This window comes from Homo sapiens, chromosome 8 (assembly GCF_000001405.40).
Source record: "Homo sapiens chromosome 8, GRCh38.p14 Primary Assembly".
Classification (NCBI taxonomy): domain Eukaryota; kingdom Metazoa; phylum Chordata; class Mammalia; order Primates; family Hominidae; genus Homo; species Homo sapiens.
In genome coordinates this window covers 138,205,745-138,232,340 of record NC_000008.11, presented here as the reverse complement: position 1 = coordinate 138,232,340, position 26,596 = coordinate 138,205,745, and the positions used below count along the sequence as shown (strand labels likewise).

At 41.9% G+C, this 26,596-nt stretch overlaps 1 protein-coding gene across 16 annotated transcripts in view; it reads left to right on the top strand.

The window, feature by feature from the left end:
* FAM135B (family with sequence similarity 135 member B) overlaps positions 1–26,596 on the top strand; it is a 367,708-nt gene that overhangs the window by 265,390 nt on the left and 75,722 nt on the right. Inside the window, exon 1 of one of the 16 annotated variants that reach the window (XM_011517072.3) lies at positions 14,567–14,651. The exons of the other annotated variants lie outside the window; for them this stretch is intronic. Within the exon in view, the coding sequence (XP_011515374.1) occupies positions 14,586–14,651 (66 nt within the window). The 5' untranslated portion in view covers positions 14,567–14,585. Of the gene's footprint in view, positions 1–14,566; positions 14,652–26,596 lie in introns of those variants that run through there. 16 annotated transcript variants of the gene reach the window in all.

Below are 26,596 nucleotides of genomic sequence, written 5' to 3'. Positions count from 1 at the left end.
GCTCCACACCAGTATTTCTGGGCATGATGGAGATGTCACATGGTGACAATGAGGCACTGGAATTCCTTCCCAGACAGTCCAGGGCTCCCCCCCACTATGTCCTTGGTGCCCAGCATGGCTCATGGTGCATGACAGACATGAAGTAGATACATACTGAGTGAGTACAAGGTGACAGAGCAGCAGGGCATAGAGCAAGAATAGTGGCCTTGGAGTAAGGAAACCTGGTAGGGCTAATCTTGGGTTTTCCCATGGATTAACTGTGAGAGCTTGAGTGAGCCGTTTAACCATTCAGATCCTTTGTTTCTTCTTCTTTTCTTAATGGGAAGATGAAATCTTCTTAACCTATAAGATTTGTCTGGGACTCAGGAAGGGTAAGGTATTTCCCCTTTGGGGAATCCCTTTCTCCCCACCCTCTTTTTTCTCCTTTCCCCATTCTTCCACCCAGGGATGCCGTGATGGTGACATTACAAACCCATGGATCTTGTAACATAAGTATGTTAGGTAAATGTAGTGAGCATTTATTTATGTTTGGCTCTCGGCTGGATATTTTTAATATGCCTCCTCACACCTTCCTGAATATACTCACATTATATAGTTGAAGAAACTAGAGCTCTAATAACTTAAGCAAATTGGCCAGGATCAGACAGCTCCTGGCAGGGTTGGATGTGACTCCAGATCTGACTGTGTCCAACACTTGTCTTTTGTCCACTTTGAGTCACTTTTCACCTGCTCACCTCCTTTCATATTCCTGGTAAGTTGGAAGCCATATCTGTCACATTCTGCACCTAGCACGGAGTCATCAGAGAAATAGGTATCTCCTTAATAAAATGTTATATTAGTGTTTGCTCTTTTTTGCAGTTAGTGAAGCTGAGTCTAAGCCATTTATTTTGCACTGATATGATGTGGACAACGGTTATGTTAAACCCCTCAGGTGTGAGGATGAGTGTGTTGGTGGTGAACAAGTCTGCCTGGTCCCTACTCTCACGGAGTTTACAAATTAGCTATTTAAAAAAGTCTTGAGGACAGGAGCAGTGGCTCACACCTGTAATCCCAGCACTTTGGGAGGTTGAGGTAGGCAAATTGCTTGAGTTCAGGAGTTTGAGACCAGCCTGGCCAACAAGACAAAACCCTGTATCTACTAAAAATATTAAAGTTAGTTGGGTGTGGTGGCATGAACCTGTAGTCCCAGCAGCACTGGGAGGCTGAGGCAGGAGAATTGCTTGAACCCCGTTGCAGTGAGCTGAGATTGCACCACTACACTCCAGCCTGGGTGACAGAGCAAGACTCCATCTCAAAATAAATAAATACTAAACAAATATAAAACAAAATAAAAATAAAATAATAAAATAAATTAGAAATTCTTGAAAAAGTAACTTCATGTAACCTGCACATGAAGAGCCAAGCAACAAAGCAGATTTTAAAACTTTGAATGTGTTTACTAGGAGACCAGAAACAGATAGATTGACAGCCTAATCAGTTTTTTAAACAAAATTATATTGTCAAGGAAACTACCAACTTGGACTCCAAGAATATTTGACTCTTTAAGACTGTTATCAACCCTTTGGCCTCTGGTGCTGTAGGGCAAGAGGTAGGCTTTAAAAAACATATAGTCCCCAAAGTGTCATGTTCCCACTGTCTACCTCAGAACATTCCAATAAGAATAAGAATAATGGTGAACAGTCTCCTAGAAGGAGACTCAGCGGGCACAGCTTACGTGAGTCCAGGGGCATGGAACAAGGAATTCCAACCAGCAGCAGAATTTGTGTCTAACCATGAGTCCATTCCCAGCTGCAGTAGAGGGCTTTCAATTTGCCTTCCCAGCAGCATTTGAGAACTACTGTAGACCCATGGCTGCTATGAGTGAGGCTTTTCTCTATTCCTCCTAATGGGAGTGATTTTGTCAGTTATCCTCTTATTTTTCTAGTATTGTACATTCTGAAGGGTAGTGAATTTATATGTCCAGGTCTTAGGTTGTTGGACGTAAAAGAGTCACCTCCAGACCTAATGCCAACCCAGCACCCATCACTCAGGGATTCTGCAGTTTCAGTATGGAGCTGGGACTTCATGAGCCTAGGGCTGCTCCCCTTGAATGTGGTTACTCTAGGTGTGGAAAAAGAGTGAAATAGATTGTGGCTGATCAGAATGACCGTGGTGGCAGAGATTGGCTGTATTCCCATTTCATCTTTACATGCACAATTGAAGACCCATTTCTGAGCCTTTCTTGTAGTTAGTTTGGGGTCATGTGTCTGGACTCTAGCCAGTGGATACATATCTCATCCCTGAAAAATATTTTATGTGCTACTCTCCACCTCTTTCTGTGGTGCCTTTGGAAGGTTCTATGGTTTGGCTGTGTGTCCACACCCGAATCTCACTTTGAATTGTAATAATCCCAAAGTGTCAAGGGCAGGTCCAGGTGGAGATAATTGAACCATGAGGGTGGCTTCCTCCATGCTGTTCTTGTGATAGTGAGTGAGTGCTCACGAGAGCTGATGGTTTTATAAGGGTCTTCCCCGTTCTCTCAGCACTCATTCTCTCTCCTGTCACCCTGAGAAGAGGTGCCATTTGCCATGATTGTAAGTTTCTTGAGGCCTCCCCAGCCATGTGAAACTGGGAGTCAATTAAACCTCTTTCCTTTCTCAATTACCCAGTCTCGGGCAGTTCTTTATAGCAGCATGAGAACAGACTAATACAGAAGGTGTGTGTTAAAGGTGGCAGCATCACAAAATGGAAGGGCTGAAACACTGACTCCCTGCTTTTCGTAAAACTGCCCACAAAGGCTGCCTTTTCCACAGTGATAACTCAGCTTTTGTGTTGTTACACACTGAGAGTTTAGGGTCGTTTGTTACTTCAGCACTGTCTAACCTACTGTGACTATAACTATGGGTCTCTGGGGAAAGGCGCCCTAGATGAAAGGACCATATTTATTGAAGACTGGGAGTCTGATGTGCAAGACATCATTAACATCTGTATTATAGTCTTGAGACTGTGTATGCTTTGTGAGCTTTAATGGGAGATGGGTCAGATCATAGAAGGTGTCCAATGCCACGCCCAGACACACTTGGAGATGAGTCCTTCAGACTCAGGTTCTAGCAGGCCCCATGAAGAAGGTGCCAAAGAGTAGGACACAGCAGGGGCAATGCATGGAGGGAAGATGCAATGGTGTAAACCTCATAAAACTCCTTAAATGACTGCTCTTAGTAATGAAGACAGCCAGAAACTGACCAAACAGCATTGTGCTGACAGCATTGCCGATTTCCATGTGAGTGTGGTGTACACACGCACACACACACACACACACGTGTGAGTGTTCATATAGGGAAACACGGGCGCTTCGCAGGAGGGATAAAGCAGTCAATGCAAAAGCGGCTGTGCTCTGTTTGGAACCCAATCAGCAGACTAACAGGTTACTTCATACCTATTTACTGGATACCCCTGCTTCTCTGTCCCCAGTCTGAAATTGTAGCTGGCCCAGGAAGAACAGATGCTGCAGCCGGATGGCTGGAGAGAATCCTGGGAACCAGGGGGCATCAGGGCCTTGCACTGCATTGCAGGCAGCGCTTGCAAGCCTTGCTGTCCTCTTCCTGTCTTCCTCCTTTTCCTAAGTCCCATGCTGGCCTGATGATACTGCTTGAGGTTTAAGAGGAAGAAAAGTCAATTCCGAAGAGCAACCAGAAGTTGTGGGGTATATGACATACACTCCCAGTAAGCCGGCTCAGGGGAATCTGTCGTTCAGCTCAGCCTGTGAAACCTACCTTGTCAAACACAGGTCCGCTCCCCACCAACATATGTCTCTCAAGCTCCACACCCTCAAAGATCTCCTTGTATTCTTTAACATAGGAATAAACATCAGAAGTGCAACAAATTTGCACTTCTTAGCAGCTCAGTAGTGGTAAACAACCTTGAATATGGTGTCAGGGAATAGGCAGAAAACACCCGCTCCTGCAGCTGGGGGTGATGCAATAGTTATTAACCAGGAGTGCACATCACAATCCTCTGGGGAGTCTCTTAAATTATGCAAACCTCAGCCCTACACCTAAAGATTCCGATTCAGCCCAGCGAGAGTGAAGTTTGGATAGCAGTAAAAAAAAATATTACCCCATGATTCTGATGTCTACCTCCAACTGAGGTCTCTTGGAATGGTCCAAAAGGGATAGACTTGGGAGTCAAACACGTAGGTCCAAATTTAGTCCTAGTCACCCTAGTCCTTGATTTCATCATTTAACCTCTTTGAGCTACAGACAATGCACACATAAAGTGCCCAAGACAGGGTCAGAATGCAGTCACATGCATGGCTCAGAAACGGATGCTTTTCTGTGTGTATGAAGAAGGCAGTAGAAGCTATAATGTACAACCTTCTGCATATTCTATTAGGTTGCCTTGATAGCAGGATTAAAGATGTACTGCAGAGACATATGACAATATGCAGTTATTTTTTCATTGCAGTTCACCTTGCAATTATGCAAGATGAATAAGTTCTAGAAATCTGTTGTACAACATAATGCCTAGAGCTAACAATACTGTATTGTACACTTAAAAATTTGTTGAGAGAGCAGACCTCATATTAAGTGGTCTTACCAAAAAACAACTACCACCACCACCACCAAAAAAAAAAAAAAAAAAAAAAAAGAGAGACAAAATTAAAACACACCAGAAAGCACAAGGAAACTTCTAGATGTGATGGATGTGACTGTTTCCTTGATTGGGGTGATGGTGTCATGAACATGTGCATATGCCCAGACTCACCAAACTGTATACATTAAGCTTGTGCAGTTTTTGTATGTCAGTTATACCCCAATAAAGCTATCAATAATAAATTTAAGAAAACAAGTAACAGGACTCTCATAGCATGCCAAACGTAGGAGCAGTTGTATGCCTGGAGTTTTGCTAATTGGAGTAAAAAATTCTGGATCCAAGGCAGGTCCCAGCAGGGCTGGATAGGATCCTATTCATGAATGTCCCTACTAATGTGCCATTGTCAACTGCGTGGGCTGCCCTTGATTTGCAGATTCATTTTGTATTTAATTATTTCGCTCCACCACTCCCAAATAGCTGACTTTGTTATTATTTCCCAGAAAACACTTTTAAAGAGGATAATTGGTTTGACTAGGGCAAAGATGAGCATCCATATTTGAGCAGAGGTTTTAGCAACAGCCATGTCAAAGGTCACTGGACATCCTAGGGATTAGCTGCCCTTGGGTCACGTGCCTGCCCTGATCTGATCAGTTGTGAACTTGGGAGCTGGGGCCACATGGAAAAGAACATATCTTTCCTGCTGAAGGCAGGACAGTTTGTCATGGAGCATGCTCTGGAGAGGCCAGGCTCTGTATAGAAAGCCCTGAGTTAGGGCTGGGTGTGGTGGCTCACGCCTGCAATCCCAGCATTTTGGGAGGCTGAAGCAGGCAGATCATTTGAGGTCAGGAGTTTGAGACCAGCCTGGCCAACATGGTGAAACCTCATCTCTACTAAAAATATAAAAATTAGCTCGGTGTGGTGGCACACGCCTTTAATCCCAGCACTTTGGGAGGCTGAGGTGGGCAGATCACTTGAGGTTAGGAGTTTGAGACTAGCCTGGCCAACATGGTGAAACCCCACCTCTAATAAAAATATAAAAATTAGCTGGGCATGGTGGTGCATGCCTGTAATCCCAGCTACTTGAGAGGCTGAGGCAGGAGAATAGCTTGAACCTGGGAGGTGGTGGTTGCAGTGAGCTGACATCACACTACTGCACTCCAGCCTCCACTACCGACAGAGTGAGCCTCCATCTCAAAAACAAAACAAACACACACAAAAAGCCCTGAGTTAGCCAGGCTCTGTGCAACCACAGGGCCTTTGCACATGCTGCACACACTTCCTGGACAACCCCTACTCTTTGGCGTTACTCATCCTTCAGATCAGTTTAAACGTGAATTCCTTGGGAGAGCTTTTCCTGACTCCTAGGTTTGTCAGGTTCCTTTAGCATACATTGTAACAGAATTCTGTTCCTTTCCTTTTGTGCATTTGTCTTAGTTTACAACAGTGACTCTGTGTTCTATGAGGGCAGGTTTCAAAGATGTTCTTGTTCATCATGGTGTCTCCATGACCTACCATAGTGTTCAACATAAACTAATGCTCAATATTTGTTTGCAGAATCAATGAAAAAAAAAATGACATGCGCGCACACACACACACACACACACACACACACACACACGGTGGGTCCCCAGAAAATTGTATTTTTTTAGAACTTCAAGGTACTTTATCTGCTAATTTTTCTTGATGACTTGTTATATAAGATAATAAGAATAATAAGTTATCCACCTCTAAAACTGGGCTCTAATACTATTTCCTTATAAACTCTCTCCTCTTCTAATTAAACATGAATTCCAGGTTCTGCTAGGCCCCTATGGAATGAGCATACACCTTCAATATAACTGAAATTTACTCCTCCCTCCTCTGGGCATAGTATACAGATCTCCTTTACAGGAACCATGCACCACCACCCTGCCAGCTGCTATGAGGGTTGGTGTTGAAAGCTCAGAACTTCACCCATCCCTGCTCACAACTCATGACTGCCTGACACCTGGGTGTGGAAGACTGCCCACCCCTTGTCTCAAGTTTAACCCAATTATTAGTAGAAAATACATCCTTGCTTAGCTTCTGCCCTGACCTAACTTGGTCCCTCAATCATTTTCTCCTAAGAGCAGTGCCTTATTAAACTATGTGGACCTTAATCTATGTGTCTGACTCTGATGTAAGACCATTTGTCCTCCAACAGTGTAGGTGTCTATTCTCTGCCCAACCCCTGCACAACACACACACACACACCTACACAGCACCTGAGAATTGAAAAAGTTTTTTTCTTTTTCTTCTTTGTTTTTGTTTTTTTTGTTTTTTTGTTTTTTTTTTGTTTTTTTGGCTTAAATAGCAGACATTTATTTCTCACAGTCTTGGAGACTGAGAAGTCAAAGATCAAGGCACCTACAAGCCCAGTGTCTGGTGAGGGCTCTCTTCCTGGCTTGCAGATGGCTACCTTCTTGTTGTACCTTCACATGGCAGAGAGCAAAGAGAGATCCATATCTTTCCTATTTTGTTGTTCTTCAATCTAATTTTCTTTCTATTTATTTTTTAGTTGACAAATAATAATTGCATATTTTTGTAGGATACAGTGTAATTCTTTTGATCTATGTATACTTTGTATAGATTAAATCAAGCTAATTAACATATCTATCTAATCTGTCACTCACCAACTTATCCTTTACTTTGTGGTAAGAATGTTTAAAATCTATTTTGTAGCAATTTTGAAATATACATTATCATTAACTGTGGTCACCATGCAGTGCAATAGATCATTAAAACTTATTCCTTCAGGCTAACTGAAACTTTGTTATCCTTGAACCAATTTGTCCTTTTTTTTCCATCCCCGCCTTTCCTGTTCTCCCCACCTCTGCCCAGCCAGTCTCTAATAAACACCTTTCTATTTCTGTTTCTACAAGTTTGACTTTTTTTAGATTCCACATATAACTGAGATCGTGCAGGATTTGTGTATTCTGTGTCTGGCCTATTTAATAATGTCCTTCAGGGTATTAACCTCATCATGAGGGTCCCATCCTCATGACCTAATCCAACTCTAATGACTTTCCAAAGGCCTTACCTCCGAATAAGACTTCAACATACGAACTTTGGGGAGACACAAACATCAAGTCCATAACATATGCTAACCAGATAATAGTTGTATTTTAACTGTTTAGGTATAGCTACAGTGTAGTACTATTCTTCCATGCTAGTTGTTACTCAATGATGTGGAACCTTTAGTCACATATATCTTTAAAAATGTTAGGCGGAGGTTGCAGTGAGCCGAGATCGGGCCTCTGCATTCCAGCCTGGGCGACAGAGCAAGACTCTGTCTCAAAAAAAATAAATAAATAAAAATGTTTTGGTCTTGGTTCTCTCTAGCCCCTCTTGCGTTGTCTGTGTGCGTGTGCATGTGTGCATGCATGAGTTCTGCTCTGTATTTGATGCTGGATGACTTTCTGCATTGTTCCATCTCAGCTGGACACCTATGCCTTCCTGAATGTGCTAACTACAGAGTGCTGTCAATTCTTTGGTCTGCAATTATCAATGTTCTTCAACCGTGGTATTTCCCTAGCTTTAGCTTTTTTATTTTTATCTTTTTCAACTTTTACTTTAGGTTCAGGGGGCACATGTGCAGCTTTGTTACCTGGGTATATTGCATGATACTGAGGTTTGGGGTACAGTTGATCCTGTCACCCAGGTACTGAGCATAGTATGCAACAGTTAATTTTTCAACCCTTGCCCCCCACCCCCGTCCTCTAGTAATCCCCAGTTTCTATTCTTACCATCTTTATATCCATGTGTACCCAATGTTTAGCTCCCACTTAAAAGTGAGAACATGTGACATTTCTCTGTTCCTGTGTTAATTTGCTTAGGATAATGGCCTCCAGCTGCATCCATGTTGCTGCAAAGAAAATAATTTTGTGATTTTTTATGGCTGCATAGTATTCCACGTTGTATATGGACCTCATGTTGTTTATCTAATCCATCATTGATGGCACTTAGGTTGATTCCGTGTCTTTGCTCTTGTGAATAGTGCTGCGAAGAACATGTGAGTTTAACACATTTCTGCAATACTAGTGCACAATGCTCTGAGTAAGATATGTGTCTGTCATTGTTTAATACTCAATGAACTTAGAGTCTTGGCCACCTCTATCCTTCAATCCATGCCAAAGGATCCTTAAGAACACATGATCTTTCTCAGTTTCCCACTTGTTTGTAGGCTGCTTCCTATGCCTGGGATACCCTTCAGGATCCTCTTTATCTTAGGAATTCTTGTTGCTCCTACAGGACTCTGCACAAGCATTCTTTCCTCCAAAGTCCTAATCTACTTCCCACCCTCTTGCCTGACTCCTGGCTGGTTTAGGAGGCCCTTCTTTGGGACCCAAATATCTTTTTGCTCACTCCTATCATTTCAACGGTTACAGTTCATTGTCACTGCTTATTTTCTTGCCAGTCTCTGTAGTCAAGAGCTCCTGGACTACAAGTGTTGGGTGAAGTAGTTTATTCTTCACTGTACATTTCCAGACTAACAGGCTTCTCATAAATGGGCCCTGGTGGAATAGTCATTGCCACATGGATTTTGTTGTTCTCTCCTGTTTAACCCCGTGATAACCCTTAGAGGGAGAAATCACCACTGACATTTCGGAACAAGAAAACGGAGGTTCAGAAATAGAAACTAACTGTTCCTGTGTGACACAAGTAGAGAAGCTACAGAAGACCAGTGTGGCAGACACCCTCTAACACCTGTGTACCTAATCTTGGAATCTGAACATGAAAAGGACCCAGTTCACAGTTGGAGGAGGCTCATGTCCCCGACAGTAGCCTCCTACACAGCCAAGCCTTGTCCATTCCATTGTCTCAGCCCTACCTGCAGTTGCAGAAGGCAATGTGTCTTTCTCCTAAATGTAGGGTAAAGACTCTGAACTGTCTGTACTCACAGTTGTCCTTCTTGAGAAAATATAATCCATAATTTAAGAATAATTATTCATTGAGCAGTTAAAGACATGTCATGGGTTGCTTTTCAGAATCTTTTTTAAAAATTCATTTTGTTTTTTTGACTCTAAGGAATATCCTGGGCTCAGAATTAAAAAAAAAAAAAAAAAAAAAAACACCACCAACAAAAATCCTACAAACAAACAAACAAAAAACCCCACCACATCTAAATATAACTATTCTACTTACTAGCTTTTGTCTTTGAGCAAGTTACTGAACCTCTTCAGCCTGGTCAGTAAAATAACAGTTATATTTGTCCCCTTCTTTAATATATTCAGTAACTTTGGGCCACCCTGCTATATTCAATGGACTGTGTGAATCATTGGTAAAACTGCAGTGAATAAAACAGATGATATCCTGGCTTTATGGACAGACAGGGCTTTGGTGGGGAAGTTTTTCTTTGGGGAGGGGGCATATATAGAATAAATAGATAATTGCACCAATTAGTTATGAGTTGCAATTGTGATAAGAGTTAAGAAGCAGTGGGCAGGCGATTGCCATTCAACCCCCTTTCTGTCATCCTGTTATACCCCTTTTATCTGCCACTACCTGCTCCTCCTCCTGTATCTGCCTTTTCTCTCCAGGCATCTCTCTCCTTACTTACATGGCTTCTCTGTTTATCCCCTTACCTCTCAGTTGTCCTTCTGTTTCTCCATCTTTCTCGGCTTCCCGTCTCTCTCTCTCTCCATCTCCTCTTTTCTGTCTTCCACATCTCCACCTCCCACTCTCTACATCATCTTCTTTCTCTTTGCACCTGTCCTTGCTGAGAACTCTATCATTGCTGCCGTTTCTGAATTAGTTTCTACTGATTGATTTTTCTCTTTACATGTATTTCGTTTCCCTGCTTATTTGTATGCCTAGTAGTTTTGTATTCAATGATAGGCATTGTGGTTTTATATTTTTCAGGGCTGGATATGTGTGGGTGTGTGCGCATGTGCGTGTGTGTGCACACTCATATATACATATGCATTCTTTAGCTTTGTAATTGGATGTGGTTAAGTTACTTGGAATCTGATCTTTCCAAAGCTTGCTTTTTAAGATTTGTTCGGTGGGATCAGAGCAGCTTTTACTCTAGGCTAATTTTACCCAATCACTGAGGTAATCTCCTTCTGAGTTTTCTCCTCAATATTCCATGAATTATGAGGTTTTTCATTCTGATACGTCAGTTAATTCTCAGTCCTGGGTGAGCTCTGGGAATTGTTTCCTTGGCTCTCCTATTCAGTACTCTGTCCTGTGAACTCTAGCCCACCTAAACTCCCTGCAATTTGCATTCTGTCTTCTCAAATCTGAGAGTAATATGGTTTGAATCCGTGTCCTCACCAAATCTCATGTTGAATTCTAATCCCCAGTGTTGGAGGTGGGGCCTGCTGAGAGGTGATTGGATCATGAGGGCAGAGTTCTCATGAATGATTTGGCACCATCCCCCTTGGTGCTGTATAGTGAGTGAGTTCTCAGGAGATCTGGTTGTTTGAAAGCGTGTGACACTTCCCTGCTCTCTCTATTGCTCCTACTCCTGCCATCTAAGAGGTGCCTGCTTCTCCTTCTCCTTCTTCCATGATTGTACGTTTCCTGAGGCTTCCCCAGAAACAGAAGCCAGTATGCTTCCTGGGCAGCCTGCAGAACCATGAGCCAATTAAACCTCTTTTCTTTCTAAATTACCCAGTCTCAGGCATTTCTTTCTAGCAATGCAAGAAAAGACTAATACAAAGAGTCAGCTAGAAATTTCCTGGGTTTCATCTTTCTGCATCATGGCCCAGAAACTCCCTTCAGGAAGTATATTAGAATAAACAATAGTAGGTCTCACTTCGTTTTTAGTCTATGCAGCCTGATATCCAAAGCCTGAAAAACTTGCTCAGCTGTCTTATCTATATTTTAGTTATTTCACGTGGGTGAGTACATTTGTTTCTCCTTGTTGGCTGAGGCAGTGGTCCCTTGCTTCTTACTCTCCTTTTTATATGAGACTTTTGAACATTTATATATGTGCAGTTAGTTGTTGTTCTATTTCCTATTTTCTTATAAACCATGAGATGAAATTTACACTGGCAATATGAACACAGGACTCGAAATAGTTGGGGGGAGTTCTTGTGGTATAGAAGTGATAGCCGTTTTCAATTTTGTTATCACCACCACTAGCATCATTACCATCCCCCTCACCCTCTTCTTCATCAATACTTACCAAGCACTTACAATGCGTTAGATATGCTTCTAGGCTCTTTGCATTTATTTACTCATTTAAATGAAGTGTCCACCTATAAGGCAGGTCATTAATAATCTCATTTTTAAGATGAAGAAACTGAAGCCCAGAAAGGTCAAGGAACCAGCTGGTAAGCAGTCGTGCAGGACACACACCTGGGAAGTGTGGCTTCAGAGGCTCCAGGCTCAACAACGATGCTTTTTGCCTCTCACTAGCAGTTGATGCGTAGGACCTTCCCAAGGTGCCCCAGAGGAGAGGGTGGTACTTCAGCTGCTGATTAGAGTGACATTTGAATTACACTTGCCTAGGGCTCAGAAAGAAACAGCAAGCCTATCCTCGACTCCTGGCTAGAAAGGTGACCCAATCAAGAGAATACTTCTTGAAATACTGTCACCTTTTGGCAACCCAAGCATTTCAAGTTATATACCTGCTTTAGTTCTCACCATGGGGCACTGGACCCAGATTGCTTATGCTCTGCTCTCTGCTTTGTTAAGTTCTGCACATGAGCACGTGTGTGTGTGTGTGTGTGTGTGTGTGTGATTTTAGGCAAATCACCCTATTTGTGTATGAGTTAAAGCATTTGTAAAATAGAAATAATATTAACAAGAACAATCAGTATGTTTGGGGTGAGAAAAAAATGAGTTAATATATTAAAATCCATGAGATAATCCAGGGCAGGAGGTCAGCCTTTCATTAGCTGTTGTCTATGAATAGTTCATATGAATTGCTTATCACAAGCACCTGTGCATCTGTTTCTGTTTCTACCAGAACATGAGTTCCTAGAGGGAAAGAGCTGACTAGTAAAAACACATTTGGATTATTCCAAGGGAGAACCTGATCCGTGCTAATGCAATAGGAAATGGGGGAGGGAGGTAAAGTGAGTCATTTAAGAGGTAAAGTGAGTCATTTAAGAGAGAGAATGAACACGTCTGGGTGAGAGGGAAAGAACATACAAGGATGACCCTGGTTTTCTGTTTTAACTAGTGGAGGAATAGGAAGGCCTGGTCCATTTGGTATCTTAGACCATGCTTCTTTGTTATTTTCTCAATCCCCATCTCAAATATTTACGCAGATTTTATGATCCTCACTGGGTGATTGCCGAGTGGCCTTCCTTAATTCACTGGGGTTCTGGGCATTTATTGGTACCTGGTGGACTTCTGTGAAATGACTAAAGGCAGCAAATCAACCCCTACGATGAAAGCTGCCAGGGACAGGTTCCAGGTTTAACAATGTTAGAAGTTACAGGAGATCTAGGAATTGTGATCCTTTCTTCTAAAATATCAACCTGTTCTCCCCATCAGTGTCATTTTCTTTTCTCCCTGAAAAATAAGCAAAACCAAAGGCGTATTTGAAACTCCCCACTTCCTATCTCCCATGTTACGCATAATTGAATATATTTTACAGTTTCTATCATCTTGAAAAATCACTTTTCAAATATTGAAATAATAAAAGATCCATCTATGAACAGTAGTGAAGATAGTACCTTCTGTTTCCATGGAGACCAAATTACTAGTGTTCAGATGTGTGGTTATTAATGGCAGTTACAGATACAGCTCTCACTGGGTTAGCCAGGTAAGTAGGCACATGATATTTATCATCACCTGCAAATGCATTCAACTCATTTCAACCTAATTTTATTGTTGGAATTTTAGAAATAGTTTTATTTTCTATTTTGGTTCAATTTCATTTTCTTGCGGAGTATTTTACTGGTGCCTGGTAAGCAGTTTCCTGGCTGCGTTGCCTTGTCTGATGGGACAACATTCTATTCATAAATCTCTCTCTCTCTCTTTCTCTCCCTCTCTCTCTCTCTCTCTCTCTCTCTCTCTCTCTCTCTGTGTGTGTGTGTGCGTGTAAGTTTGGGAGGAGCAGGGCATTGAACAGGGTCTCTAGAGTGGCCTGTAGCAAACCTTAGAAGGCAAGAAATCCACTGCCCATGTAAAAAGAAAGGAGGAGGGATATCTATTGAGCAACTCTGTGCTGTATATTCAGTTTTTGCAAACATCATCTTTTTAACTTTTCTAACATCCATGAACATTTCTAAGTATGAGTCCCACTCTGTAAAGGAGCAAACAGGGGATCTGAGACGCCAGGAATCTTTTCTAAGGGAAATTATTAGAGCTCAAATTGTAACCCATGTCTATAATTCTGAACTCTTCACTATTTTCTATATTGGTATTGCACTAAATTAATATGTGATTGTGAGCAGGACATATTGCTATCCCCATGTGACTTCTATGGTCGTTCTCATGATTAATGTGTAGAGTGATTGACTTATGGTAAATATTGAATAAATGGTAGCTCTCATCTTTTTCCTTCTCCTGCTTTTATTTTTCTCACTATTTTTAGTAGAGCTTTAATTAGAAGTAATAGAAGTAGAATTATTTCTATCTTTGCTCATATGCACAGACATTTTTTGGTTAATTCAAGAACTGCATCTACATGGATTCCATTTTTATTTTCCCCTAAAGTCTCATTGCTCACACATTTGGAAGTCATCTTAGTTATCATGTTTCCATAAATACTAAATTTTCACCCATTAAAGTCTACCAATTATACTTAGTGTGAAGAGGTGGGAGTTAAATATGACTTCCATTAATAGTTTCATTGTTTGGAAGACAGAGGTAATTTTTGATACAGAAATAAGAATTCCTTACATTTATGAGATGGCCTAAAAGAATCCCTCCAGTATCTTGTCTTCATCCCATGGCTGTTTCATAGTAACATTCAACTTTTTCTCTTCCTACTTTGTCTCCACTGCTACAAAAACTCCGTGAAGGAAAGGACCAGGTAGTTCATGAACACTGATACATCCTCAGCGCCTCACGCATAGGAGGAAACTCACTGAATGCTGTTGTATAAAGAAATATATCGGCCGGGCATGGTGGCTCACGCCTGTAATCCCAGCACTTTGGTAAGCTGAGGCGAGCGGATCACAAGGTCAGGAGATTGAGACCATCCTGGCTAACATGGTGAAACCCCGTCTCTACTAAAAATACAAAAAAATTAGCTGGGTGTGGCGGTGGGCGCCTGTAGTCCCAGCTACTCGGGAGGCTGAGGCAGGAGAATGGTGTGAACCTGGGAGGCGGAGCTTGCAGTGAGCCGAGATCGTGCCACTGCACTCCAGCCTGGACCACAGAGGGAGACTCCATCTCAAAAAAAAAAAAAAAAGAAATATATCAGAGAACAAATGAATAGCCTCACATGGAAGGCTAGAGGCAAGAGATATTTTTTTCCCATCTTACAGAGAACAATGTTGGAATTCCAAATTACTTCTTCCCACTCTTAAGCTAAGAACTTTTTCAGTTATACCATTTTGTTGTCTAGATATGACTATCCAGAAGTATATTGATAATTCTAGCCATGAAGCACATTATTTCATTTAGTTACTATTTACATAAATATAGATTCTGAACAAAATTTCCAGACTCTTGACCTAAGTGGGCATATTCGTCAGGCATTAGATAATGGTGATGATGCTGTTGATGATGGTGGTGATGATGCTGGTCATTTTGGTGACAGGCAATGCTTACATAGATTATCTCACTTATCCCTCGCAGCTTCGAGGTGACTATTATTATACTATCATGTGCATCAGGAAACCAAGGCAACAAGGGTTTCTATTTGACCAAAGTCGCATAACCATACAGTGAAGAAGCTGGTAGACTCCACAGCCCAAAGCCCTGGAAAGCTCTGTAGCCTACTTATTATGTGTCCTCATGCCTCGTTTCCCCTTTTATAAGATGGTTAGGATTGTAGCTGTCTTTCAAGAACATGGGTTAGGCTATATGAATATGCTTATTGCAAAGACTACCAAGTCAAAGATTCCTGTGGATTAATCAGAGTTTAGAGAGCAGGTTTTCACTCTCTAATGAGCAACCCATCACTGGCTCTTAAATGGGGCTTAGAAACAGTAATACTTTCCAACCACCAACTTGTTCATAAACACATCAGACGACTTCAGGTATTTATTGCCCAAATGAGTGAGAAAGGCAGCACATCAGATGACTGACTTTTTGAAGCTTTCTCTTGGCCATTCTTTAGGATTCAGAATGAATGTTCCTGGCTCAGACAGGCATTACCCAGCACCCCTTACCTGCATCCTTTCCCTTTCTCCATTAGTGCAATGCCAATCTCACTGCAGACAGTTGTCTGTCTTCACTACAGGCTGAAGGCCTGGTGAAGGCAGAAATGTCTGCCTTCATGCTATAACCTTCAGCATCTGTGTAAGCACCTAGAACTCAATAAATATCATGAGTGTGAATGTTATTAAAAGATAGTCTGAGGAAAGCTTATCTCAGAATTGATCAGATGTGTCCTCTTCTATCTAGCTATCCTCCAACGGTTCTAAGTCTTATTGGTAGTGTCTTCATAAAAATTGTTATTGTAGTTATTTAGATTTTAATTGGCAACCAGCAACTCACTGCCACCATTCCACTGCAGATCTTCTATTCCTGGAGTTGATATGACAAGGAAACCCTATTGGAACCAAGTCTTCAGATTGTTCCATGTGCAGACAGGCTCCTTGTCTGTAGGTGTAGTAGCATGTACACTGTACTGTTCACTGTAACATAGTTTGTTCTGGTATTTGTTATTGGAAATGAATATCGCTTCCACTGACTTTTACCATCCCCTCGGACTCATTAATTGCTTTCTCTGGGTAGCACAGAGAATCCTGTTCTATGCTGATCTCATTCTCATTCCCGAGAGAATGTCCAAAGAAACTGATGCTTGCTCATGGCTGCCAGAATATCTTCTGGGGGCTTCTCTAATCTTTGCGTGGCATCACTTGTAGGATCTGAGCCATTCATGGGTGGGAGGAGGGTGCGGAGAATGGAGTGCCCATGCAACCTTCCCAAAGTGCCTTAGTTGTACTTTCTGACAATTATTATTGATGTATCAATTAATGCAACATGATTTGGGGGTTCTATAATGTTCTGTCTGTGCCAAAGCACTTTCATCCTCTTGTTTCATTTAATATTTCTGATAACGCCTCTGCAACTTGCTAACTTCTGTCATAGAATGGAAGCCTGAGGCTCAGAGACTGAAAGTGACTTGCCTAGGATTGTTCATCTAGTAAATATTAGATGCTAGATTCAAGATTCCAAGTCTAATGTTCTCTTTGCTATGTAATAGTTATTTCCAGGGATCATGGTGGTGAGTTTATAGATATAAGGGAAATGGCTCTATGGCCAACATTCAGATCAGAGTCCATACTTTCAATTAATAGAATAATATCAGTTAAAATATTATTTTGAGTATTTACTATTTTCTATCTCCCATATTAAGTTCTTGCACACGTTATCTAATTTGCTCTTCACTAGCACCCTACCAGGAATCTATTAGTTTTCCCTCATTTTACAGATAAGGTAACTTAGGCATAGAGAGATAACTAACTGGCCCAAGATTAGGTAGATTGTGGATGGTGGTTCTAGGGTTTGAGCCCAGGCTGTTAGACTCTAGATATTTAATCATGTCTAGATATTTAATCATGTCCATCTTCATGGGATCTAAAACTTTTTGAAAAATCTGTGTTGTCTGAGTCACTGGAAACCTCAGAATTATCCCCGATCCCTTCTTCTCTCTTATGTCTACGTTAGTGACTGATTTCTACAAACTGTGTCTTTGCTTTTTTTGCCTCTTCCCCTTCTTCCACTGCCTGCAAATATGTCCTAATTCCTTCTTATCCAGACAGTGCACAGACTCCCAACTTACTTATTTTTTTCTGATCCTCTTCCCTCTGCTCCATCTTCACCTAAGGCTAATTTGAGGTGCTGAATCTTACATGCATCATCATGACAAATAAGAGAGACCTTCATACTGCTTTATGCCTCTGAGTCTAAGCTCAGCTTCAACCTTGTACTTTCTGCTAGAATCGTATCAATTTTATTTTTCCCTTCCGCAGTAGGTTTTTCCTTATCTAGGTGCCTGGAATTTTCACCTATGTGTCCATCTGGCTAACTATGTATTTTAGACAACAGGATTATTTTTTACATGGTGTTTTTCTTGACTGACCCCAGAATGATGCAGACATCTTTATTTGTGCTGCAATAGCATTTATGTATAAATTTATCATAGCACTTATCAGACTCCTAAAATCATTAGTCTGTGTGCTCCCTCACATGCTAAACTGCAAAGATCTTGAACCCAAAGTCATACACAAATAATATTTTCATTTTCTAGTAGAGTTCAGCTTGGTGCCTAGTCCAGAAACAATGCCCAATAAGTGATTCTTGAATAAATGCATACATGCACCATGTTAAGCATACTATGTGTGTGTATTATGCTTAATTCTAAAATATGGCTATTCATAGTAACACAAATCATAATTATTCTTGATAGAACTGTTTATTACCTTTGCATAGAAATAGTAAGAGTATTTGAGTCGGGGATATGGCAGAGCAGTTCCCAAGAGGAGATAGACTCTCATTTCCTGGGATCTCTGTTGAAAAAAAGCCAGGGGCAATTACCTGGCTGTCTGCGCAATGGATTTGGTAACGTGAAGGCATAGAATATAGACTCAGTTGTGTTGGGATGGGAGACTGGTGTCAGGGACAGAACAGGCTGGATTTGGAGAAATTAGGTCAACACGAAACCACAGGAGGATGATCAGGCTTTGGTCCCTGGGTTAGAAAGGCCCCCACAAAGCCATCCTGAACACCACCAAAAGTTATGTTGAGTCCAGTTGGGTTGAGAGCAGACTTCCAGCCACAAGTCTTCAGGGCTACAGAAGCTCTCCTATCCATCAGGCTCTCCTGTTCATTGTGGGAGCCTCCTTGATACTGTCCTCTAAGTGGGTTCCAGCCTAGCGGAGCTTGCTGCTTCCCCTCTACTTCTAAGTGAGTTCATTGGACTTTCCCTCCTTTGTACAACCCCCCAGTCCATTTTCATTTATTTTTACCTCTTGCATCATTCTAGTGTTTAAATCCATCCTTCTCTTGCTTAAATCTATAAACAGCAATTTGCAAGGGAGATAAACTTTCTCCACATCTGATCCTTAACAAGCTAAAATTCTATCTCCAAAAGCTATTTCTGCCAGATCTGAGAGCCAAGTCTTAAAGCAGTCAAAGACATCAAGTTAAAAAAAAAAAAAAAAGAAATTACATAAAATTGAAAACAACACACGGAATTTAGCCATCCTCTCCCATTCCTCCATCTGTTTGTCTCCTGTAACTCTGGACTGTGGTCTAATTATGAGGGAAAATGAGATGACATGCTGTTGGCATTATAACGATATTAATAGAAAGAATTAACACTAATAATGACAATAATACTTATTACTTAATTCACCGTGGCTACTATTTACGTAGTGATCGTACGGTGCACTTAATACATATCAGTCATTTAATTTATTCTAAGTTTAATCTTTTCAACAATCATATCCAGTAGGTGGTATCTCATTCCAATATTGTTTTTGTAGTTCTATTCAGCATTTTCACATGAAGGCAGGAACTCTCAGGAGTCACTTCTTAGCCATGATCTCAGAGTTTACAATTTACAAAGCCAGTATCTGAATCTAAGTGGACCCCGATGGGATGGTGGAGCTCATGCTCATTTCATTTAACAGACAATGTCTCACATTTTAAAAAATATTACACATAGTGATTCTTTAGTAATTTTTAAGAAACGTGTACACATTAAATTGGAGACTAGTAATTTTTTTTAAAAAATCGGACCTTCAAGCCACATTATAAAAGTAAAGACATTCATCAGAAAGGTGTTTATGGTTTTATAATGATCTGACAACTAAATTGCTTGTTCAGTTTGAGTTGTGTAATGTTGTTCCCAATTAGATTAAATATTAAGAATCCAATTTGCCAACTGCTAACAAAATTGCTGAACATTGCACACAGTCAGGGGAATTGCTTTTAATGAAGAACAAATGGAAGTAAAATGCTAGAAAATGAAAGTGCCATCTATAAATGTTTTAATAGATAGATTCAGCATTTTCAAATGTGGATTGTTAAGTATTCTCCACACTGGAATGATGTGTTGACTTCAGTTGCCTTAATTAAAGAATCTGCTGTCTGCAGAGTCATTGTGAGCAAATCCAATTGTGAAATAGCCTATGCATATCATCTGTCTATAATCCTGAAAAGCAAAAGGCAGAGGGGCAGCTGTGTTTGTGAGACTGCAGGAAAAGGAGGCTTTAGTTCCCTCTTATTTCCTTTTTCCCTCTTATTTCCTTTTTGTGCCTCAGTCTCTTCAGAGCAGGGAAAAGCGGGGCAATATTTGTATAGTACGGTTGCCAGTGTGATGGCCAGCAACATCACTCTATCTGCTGAGTCCTCTAAAGCATCCCTCTTTCTACTTTAGAGTTCTTCCTGATGACCATCACTCCCCCTACACCTGCAGTGAGGGCTGCATACCTGTCTTCTATGTACTCTTAGCACAAATACCTATTTTGTGCCAGGTGTCCATCCTTTGTCAGACTCTCCCTTAAGCACCATGGTTACATTATCTGCCCTAGTTGCTCCTCACCACGTTGCTAATAGGTAATTGCTATTATTATTGCTATTTTATTGTATTTATTTATTTGAGACAATGTCTTTCTGTCACCAAGGGTGGAGTGCAGTGGCTCCATCTCAGCTCACTGCAACCTCCACCTCCCAGGTTCAGGTGATTGCCCTGCCTCAGCCTCCCGAGTAGCTGAGATTACAGGTGTGCACCATTACGCCTGGCTAATTTTTGTATTTTTAGTAGAGACGAGGTTTCACCATGTTGACCAGGCTGGTCTTCAACTCCTGACCTCGGGTGATCCACCTGCCTCAGCCTCCCAAAGTGCTGGGATTACAGGAGTGAGCCACCATGCCCAGACTTATAATTGCTATTTTATAGTGGAGGCAATAAATGATTGCAGAAGTGCTGCATATACATCCATGGTATAAGCCATATAGAAGGTGTTCACAGCATTCAGCAGTGTACTAGCAGATAACAAACAGTCAATAAGTGCAGAGCAGCATTAAATAGAAGTCAAATGCCCTAGTCTCAATTTTAGAATGTTGCAATGCAATATCAATACTGTCACTTCAGCATGGCCATATGTTTAACAACTTGATCTTAAACCCTATGCAAATGCAGCTACCAAAACCATGCAATGACATTTGAATGTAACATGGTTGTTGATATGATCCAAATTTTACTGAAAATTTGCTCAGATTATTTTTGAGCTATTAATGTTGATAAATGATTTTGTAGGAAACTGTTGATTCTTGACACTGTCTGAGAGATCCACCCCTCTGTCGGTGCATCTGTAGAACGGGACTAGTAGTAATACAAACCCTATAGAGTTGATCTTAAAGTCCCAGGTAAACGATGATTTATTATGCAAATACTATTATTTTGGTTTCTATGATTGCTGTAGTTATTTAAATAAAAACCAGACCTATTTTGAGCTGCTTTCCTAAAGAATTAAATATTCTTATATGACAGGGTCCACTAAGTGGTCTCCCATGTCGTTTAGTGATCCCTTAGAATAGCCTGATCTGTTTTCTGCAGGAGCCAAGAGAGAGCTAACATTAGCACGGAGCATCTTTTATAGAATGGCAAAATTGGTGGTGATTAGGAGCATGGCTCTGGGATCAGGTACACCTCATTCAAATCACAGCCATGCCCCATACTGATGGTCCAATTTTGAGACAGAAAGGCCACTTCTGCTTCCCCACCCCACACTGAATATGATTCTGAATGCCCTGTGAGGCTCAGGTAAGGAAGTTTATGAGGGGCTACATGGGTGTGTGTATGCTTGGTATCAGAACATAGAATATGTTTCCTATGCTTGTTTGTTCTGATACACTTTCTGGATTCCCTACAGAATGCACCATATGTAGAAAGCCTATTGATATCGTTTGACTCTGTGTCTGCACCCAAATCTCATGTCGAATTATAATTCCCAATGTTAGGGGGAGGGACCTGGTGGGAAGTGATTGGATCATGGGGATGGATTTCTCCCATGCTGTTCTCATGATAGTGAGTTCTCACAAGATTTGATGGTTTAGAAGTGTGTGGTGCTTCCCTCCCTTACTCTCTCTGTCTCTTCTGCCACGATGTGAAGAAAGTGCTTGCTTCCCCTTCACCTTCCACCATGATTGTAAATTTCCTGAGTCCCCCCAGTCATGCTTCCTGTTAAGCCTGCCAAACTTTGAGTCAATTAAACCTCTTTTCTTCATAAATTACCCAGTCTCAGGGAGTTTGTTATAGCAATGCAAGAACGAACTAATACACCCATCAAGAATACTAGGGGGAGAGACAAAGACCAAATTCATACAAGAGATCTTAGAACTCACAATAAGAGACTCATAGCTGCTGACTCTGTGCCTGCCCCAGTGTCAGCTGGAGGAATTTAATGCCTTGTATAATTAAAATCAGAAAAGCATAAAATTTTAAATCTCTAAGGCACCATAGTGAACCGCTGTAACTTTCAAAGTAGAGACAGACACAATGGTCACAATGTCCAGAGGCACTGAGACTGATAGCTTACTTATTCTGCAGACATGTCTAATTTGATGATCTTGGACTAGCCTCTCAGAGATGGGAGTAATCATTGCTTGACCCTTCACACTCTACATAATTAATCTTATTTATCTGATGGCCATTTCTTCTTACTCTTGCTATTTTCATTATCTCTTTTCTCATTGTCTTGCCCTCAGTTGAGAAGCCACCTTTCTATTTGGGGACTTTAATTCTGGTGAATTCAGAATAGTCCCATGTGGGATAAAGAGCTTGGCTTTTGAGCCAGGCTGTGCTATTTTGGAATTCTACATTTGTATCTTAGCAAATGTGGGACTAGGGGCCATTGACTTAACCTCTCTGGGCCCATTCCACTTATGTAAAATTTATACCATGATTACAACTTTCCTAAGGGTTTGAGGGACCAGAAACCAGAGCCAGTGAGAAGCCAGAGTCACAGAGAAAGGCCTCCCTGTATCTCCCTGAAGGGCACACTATCACATGGTTTGGACATAGCTAATATGTTGCTAGTTTCCTAGGAATTGATTCTTGATCAACATGCTATGCCTGGCTCTCCATGACCTGACCTGAATCAGTCTGTCCATTGAGCTTCATCTCCTGCTTCTCTCCTGGACTCTGGCAGCCCACATCTGGCAGCCCACATTCTGTCTCCCTGCACTTTGTTATTTTACTCACTCTATGCCCTTGTTTATGATGGCTTCTGTGCTTGTCACGCCCTCCTCTTATTCCTTATGTATCTACCTATGCCTTCAAGATCCAACTGCAGCAGCATCTGTCCAGAAAGCCTTTTTCTACCCCTACGTGTTAAATGCCTCTGTGTGCCCTATGTCACACTCTCTACATCCTGTGGTTTCCTCTGGTATCATACTTACCATATTGTGCTGCAATTATGTGTTTGTGACCCAGATTTCTTCATTTTGGGTATATTCTCCTCCAGGTGAGGACAGTATTCATTAACCTCTAGACCTCAAGTGTTCACCGCAGTGATGGGCACACAGGAACCACCAAAAAAACCCAGCAATTAGGATCATGATGATAAATGGGACTGACCCCATTGATTGCTGAGGAATATATAGAAACCCAACCACAATGCTTCTAATATGAAAATATAGTTCTCTAAAGTCAAACAGATTAATAACAACAACTTATGTATTCATGCAACATGTATCATAGGTATTAAGGTAATTTATAAGATGGTTATGAATTATTCATAGTCAATATATCAACTTATCTAACTAATAATGAGATTTTTTTTTAAAAGTTCTGAATAGGTCAAAATCTCTTGGCAATATAAGAATTGACTAATTTACTAGTTTACTAAATAAAATATCACTTAAGTACACCAGTGGAAGGATTCATATGAAATTCCTACCAATAATAATCATAATCAGAAGACTAATGTTTGTCATGCTTTATGATGGCAAAGAACTCTTTCCCCTTTATCCTCACTCTTGCCCTCTGAGGGCAGCAAAGTCTCTGTCCAAAGGGAGGAGCAAAGCCTGGACTTGACCCTGGATCTTTCCTCTAATTCTACATCTGCTGATGTTTTTGTGGGACTCTGTTTCTTTGCCTCACAAAATATATTTTTAAAAATCACCTTGCAATCATTTTGAAATAAACGGGATCAGAAAGAATATTTTTTAAAAATGCTGATAAAACAACACTTAGAAACAGAGAGGAAAGAAAACAATATTTAGGAATAAGAAATGAAAACTATGAGCAAAAAGATTGCTGAGGTCTGATTTTCAGCCACATAATTCATACCTGCCTTCTGGATCACAATGGAATAGCTAAGACTTCCAGAGGTATTCATTTAGTCTAATCATTTTCAAACTTTTTCTTTTTTTAATTTTTAGAATCCAGCATATAAAACTGCTATAAACGAAACAGACTTGTTGAAATGGGAACACCACTCACTGACCTATTCGAACCCTCTACCCAGCACTGACGGACTCTCCTGTGTGCCACCCCCAACCTCAATTCCTGAGCACCCTGGGTGATAGGAGGCTTCTGAGGCAGTCTGTCCACAGTGGAGTGGTGGTAACCTCAGTGGCCTCATCATCCAAGGAGATGGAATCTGAAGTTGGGTGTGAAGCAGCACTGAAAAACAATACCTTCTTTTCCCCAAATGAGTGCTGAACCAATTGGATAGGACAAATTGCAGATTTTTGTTTATGTCTTTGGGCAAAAAGATACATGAGTCGTGAGCCCTGGATTTAAATACTTACCCACCCTGGTATGGCAGTGCTATCAGCTACCAGCCTCCCTTGCAGGATGCCTCCTTCACCAGGCTACCCCAGGGCCGAGAGTGATGGAGATTGACGCCTTTGAGGGAGAACAAGGCAGACCTGTTTCTTATTCAAAACTCAACATTTGCCCAATAAATGGGCAGAGAAAGGCCAGGATTATTATGCTAATGGGTGTCCCTCCGTGTTGAAAAGACTTTAAGAGTGGAAAATTAGCCTTCTCACCCACAGTATGTGCCTTCCTATGACATCCATCCATTGGCTCTAGCTCCACTCTGTGGGATCTTATGCAATGAACTGTCCCTCAGGAGCCTTCAGAAAGCTGAAGGCATCTCTCAAGCTTCACAGAGACCCTCATCTTCTTAAAGTATTGTTTCAGGTGGGGCGCGGTGACTCATGCCTGTAATCCCAGCATTTTGGGAGGCCAAGGTGGGCAGATCATTTGAGGTCGGGAGTTCAAGACCAGCCTGACCAACATGATGAAACTCCATCTCTACTAAAAAATACAAAAATTAGCCTGGTGTGGTGATGGGAGCCTGTAATCCCAGCTAGTTGGGAGGCTGGGACACTTGAACCCAGGAGGCAGAGGTTGCAGTGGGCTGAAATTATACCACTGAGCTCCAGCCTGGGCAACAAAGCGAGACAAGTCTCAAAAAAAAAAAAAAAAAAAAGTATTGTTTCAGTCAACTGCACAGAGTTATTGCCGTCTATGTAAAAGTAGCTGAGAATAGAAGATGATCAATATTTTCTCCCTGATTTCCATGAGGGACACAGTAATACAACAAATTTATAGAAGGAGAGGAACACAAAACTGAGTTTATTTCGCATGTGGACAGAGCCATATAGATGTGTCTGTGATCACTCAACACTCGCTTGTAGGATCCTTTGATGCTGGAGCCATGCATAGGTGGAGAGGATGCTGGAGTTGTGGGTAGGTGGAGGGGATGCTGGAGTTGTGGGTAGGGGGAGGGGATGCTGAAGTTGTGTGTAGGTGGAGGGGATGATAGAGCTGTGGGTAGGTGGAGGGGATGATAGAGCTGTGTGTAGGTGGAGAGGATGCTGGAGTTGTGTGTAGGTGGAGGGGATGATAGAGTTGTGTGTAGGTGGAGGGGATGCTGGAATTGTGTGTAGGTGGAGGGGATGATACAGTTGTGTGTAGGTAGAGGGGATGATAGAGCTGTGCGTAGATGGAGGGGATGATAGAGTTATGGGTAGGTGGAGGGGATGCTGGAGTTCTGTGTAGGTGGAGGGGATGATAGAGTTGTGTGTAGGTGGAGGGGATGCTGGAGTTGTGTGTAGGTAGAGGGGATGATAGAGTTGTGTGTAGGTGGAGGGGATGCTGGAGTTGTGTGTAGATGGAGGGGATGATAGAGCTGTGGGTAGGTCGAGGGGATGATAGAGCTGTGTGTAGGTGGAGGGGATGCTGGAGTTGTGTGTAGATGGAGGGGATGATAGAGCTGTGTGTAGGTGGAGGGGACGATAGAGCTGTGTGTAGGTGGAGGGGATGATAGAGTTGTGGGTAGGTGGAGGGGATGCTGGAGTTGTGGGTAGGTGGAGGGGATGATAGAGCTGTGGGTAGGTGGAGGGGATGATAGAGCTGTGCGTAGGTGGAGGGGATGATAGAGCTGTGTGTAGGTGGAGGGGATGAGAGAGCTGTGTGTAGGTGGAGGGGATGAGAGAGCTGTGGGTAGTGAAGGGGATGCTGGAGCCTTGCAGAGGTGGAGGTGATACTGAACTGTGCGTGGGTGGAGGTGCTGCTGGCCTGTGTGTAGGTGGAGGTGATGCTGGAGCCCTGGGTATGTGGAGAGGATGCTGAACTATGCATAGATGGCGGGGATGCTGGAGCTGTGTGTATGTGAAGGGGATGCTGGAGTCTTGCATAGGTCGAGGTGATGCTGAGCTGTGTGTAGGTGGAGGTGCTGCTGGAGCTGTGTGAACGGGGAGGGCAGCAAGTACATACATGCATAATGGAACAGATACCTGGGTCAGAACATGACCTTGACCAGGTTTCTCAATTGCCTTCCCACTCCTAGGCCCACCCCTCAGTTCCAGCCCAGCAGCTTCTGCTCCTTTTTTCTCATTCTCAGATACACTCTGTGGAATGTCAATGAGGAGACAACATTGGTACCTTTGACTCCAATGG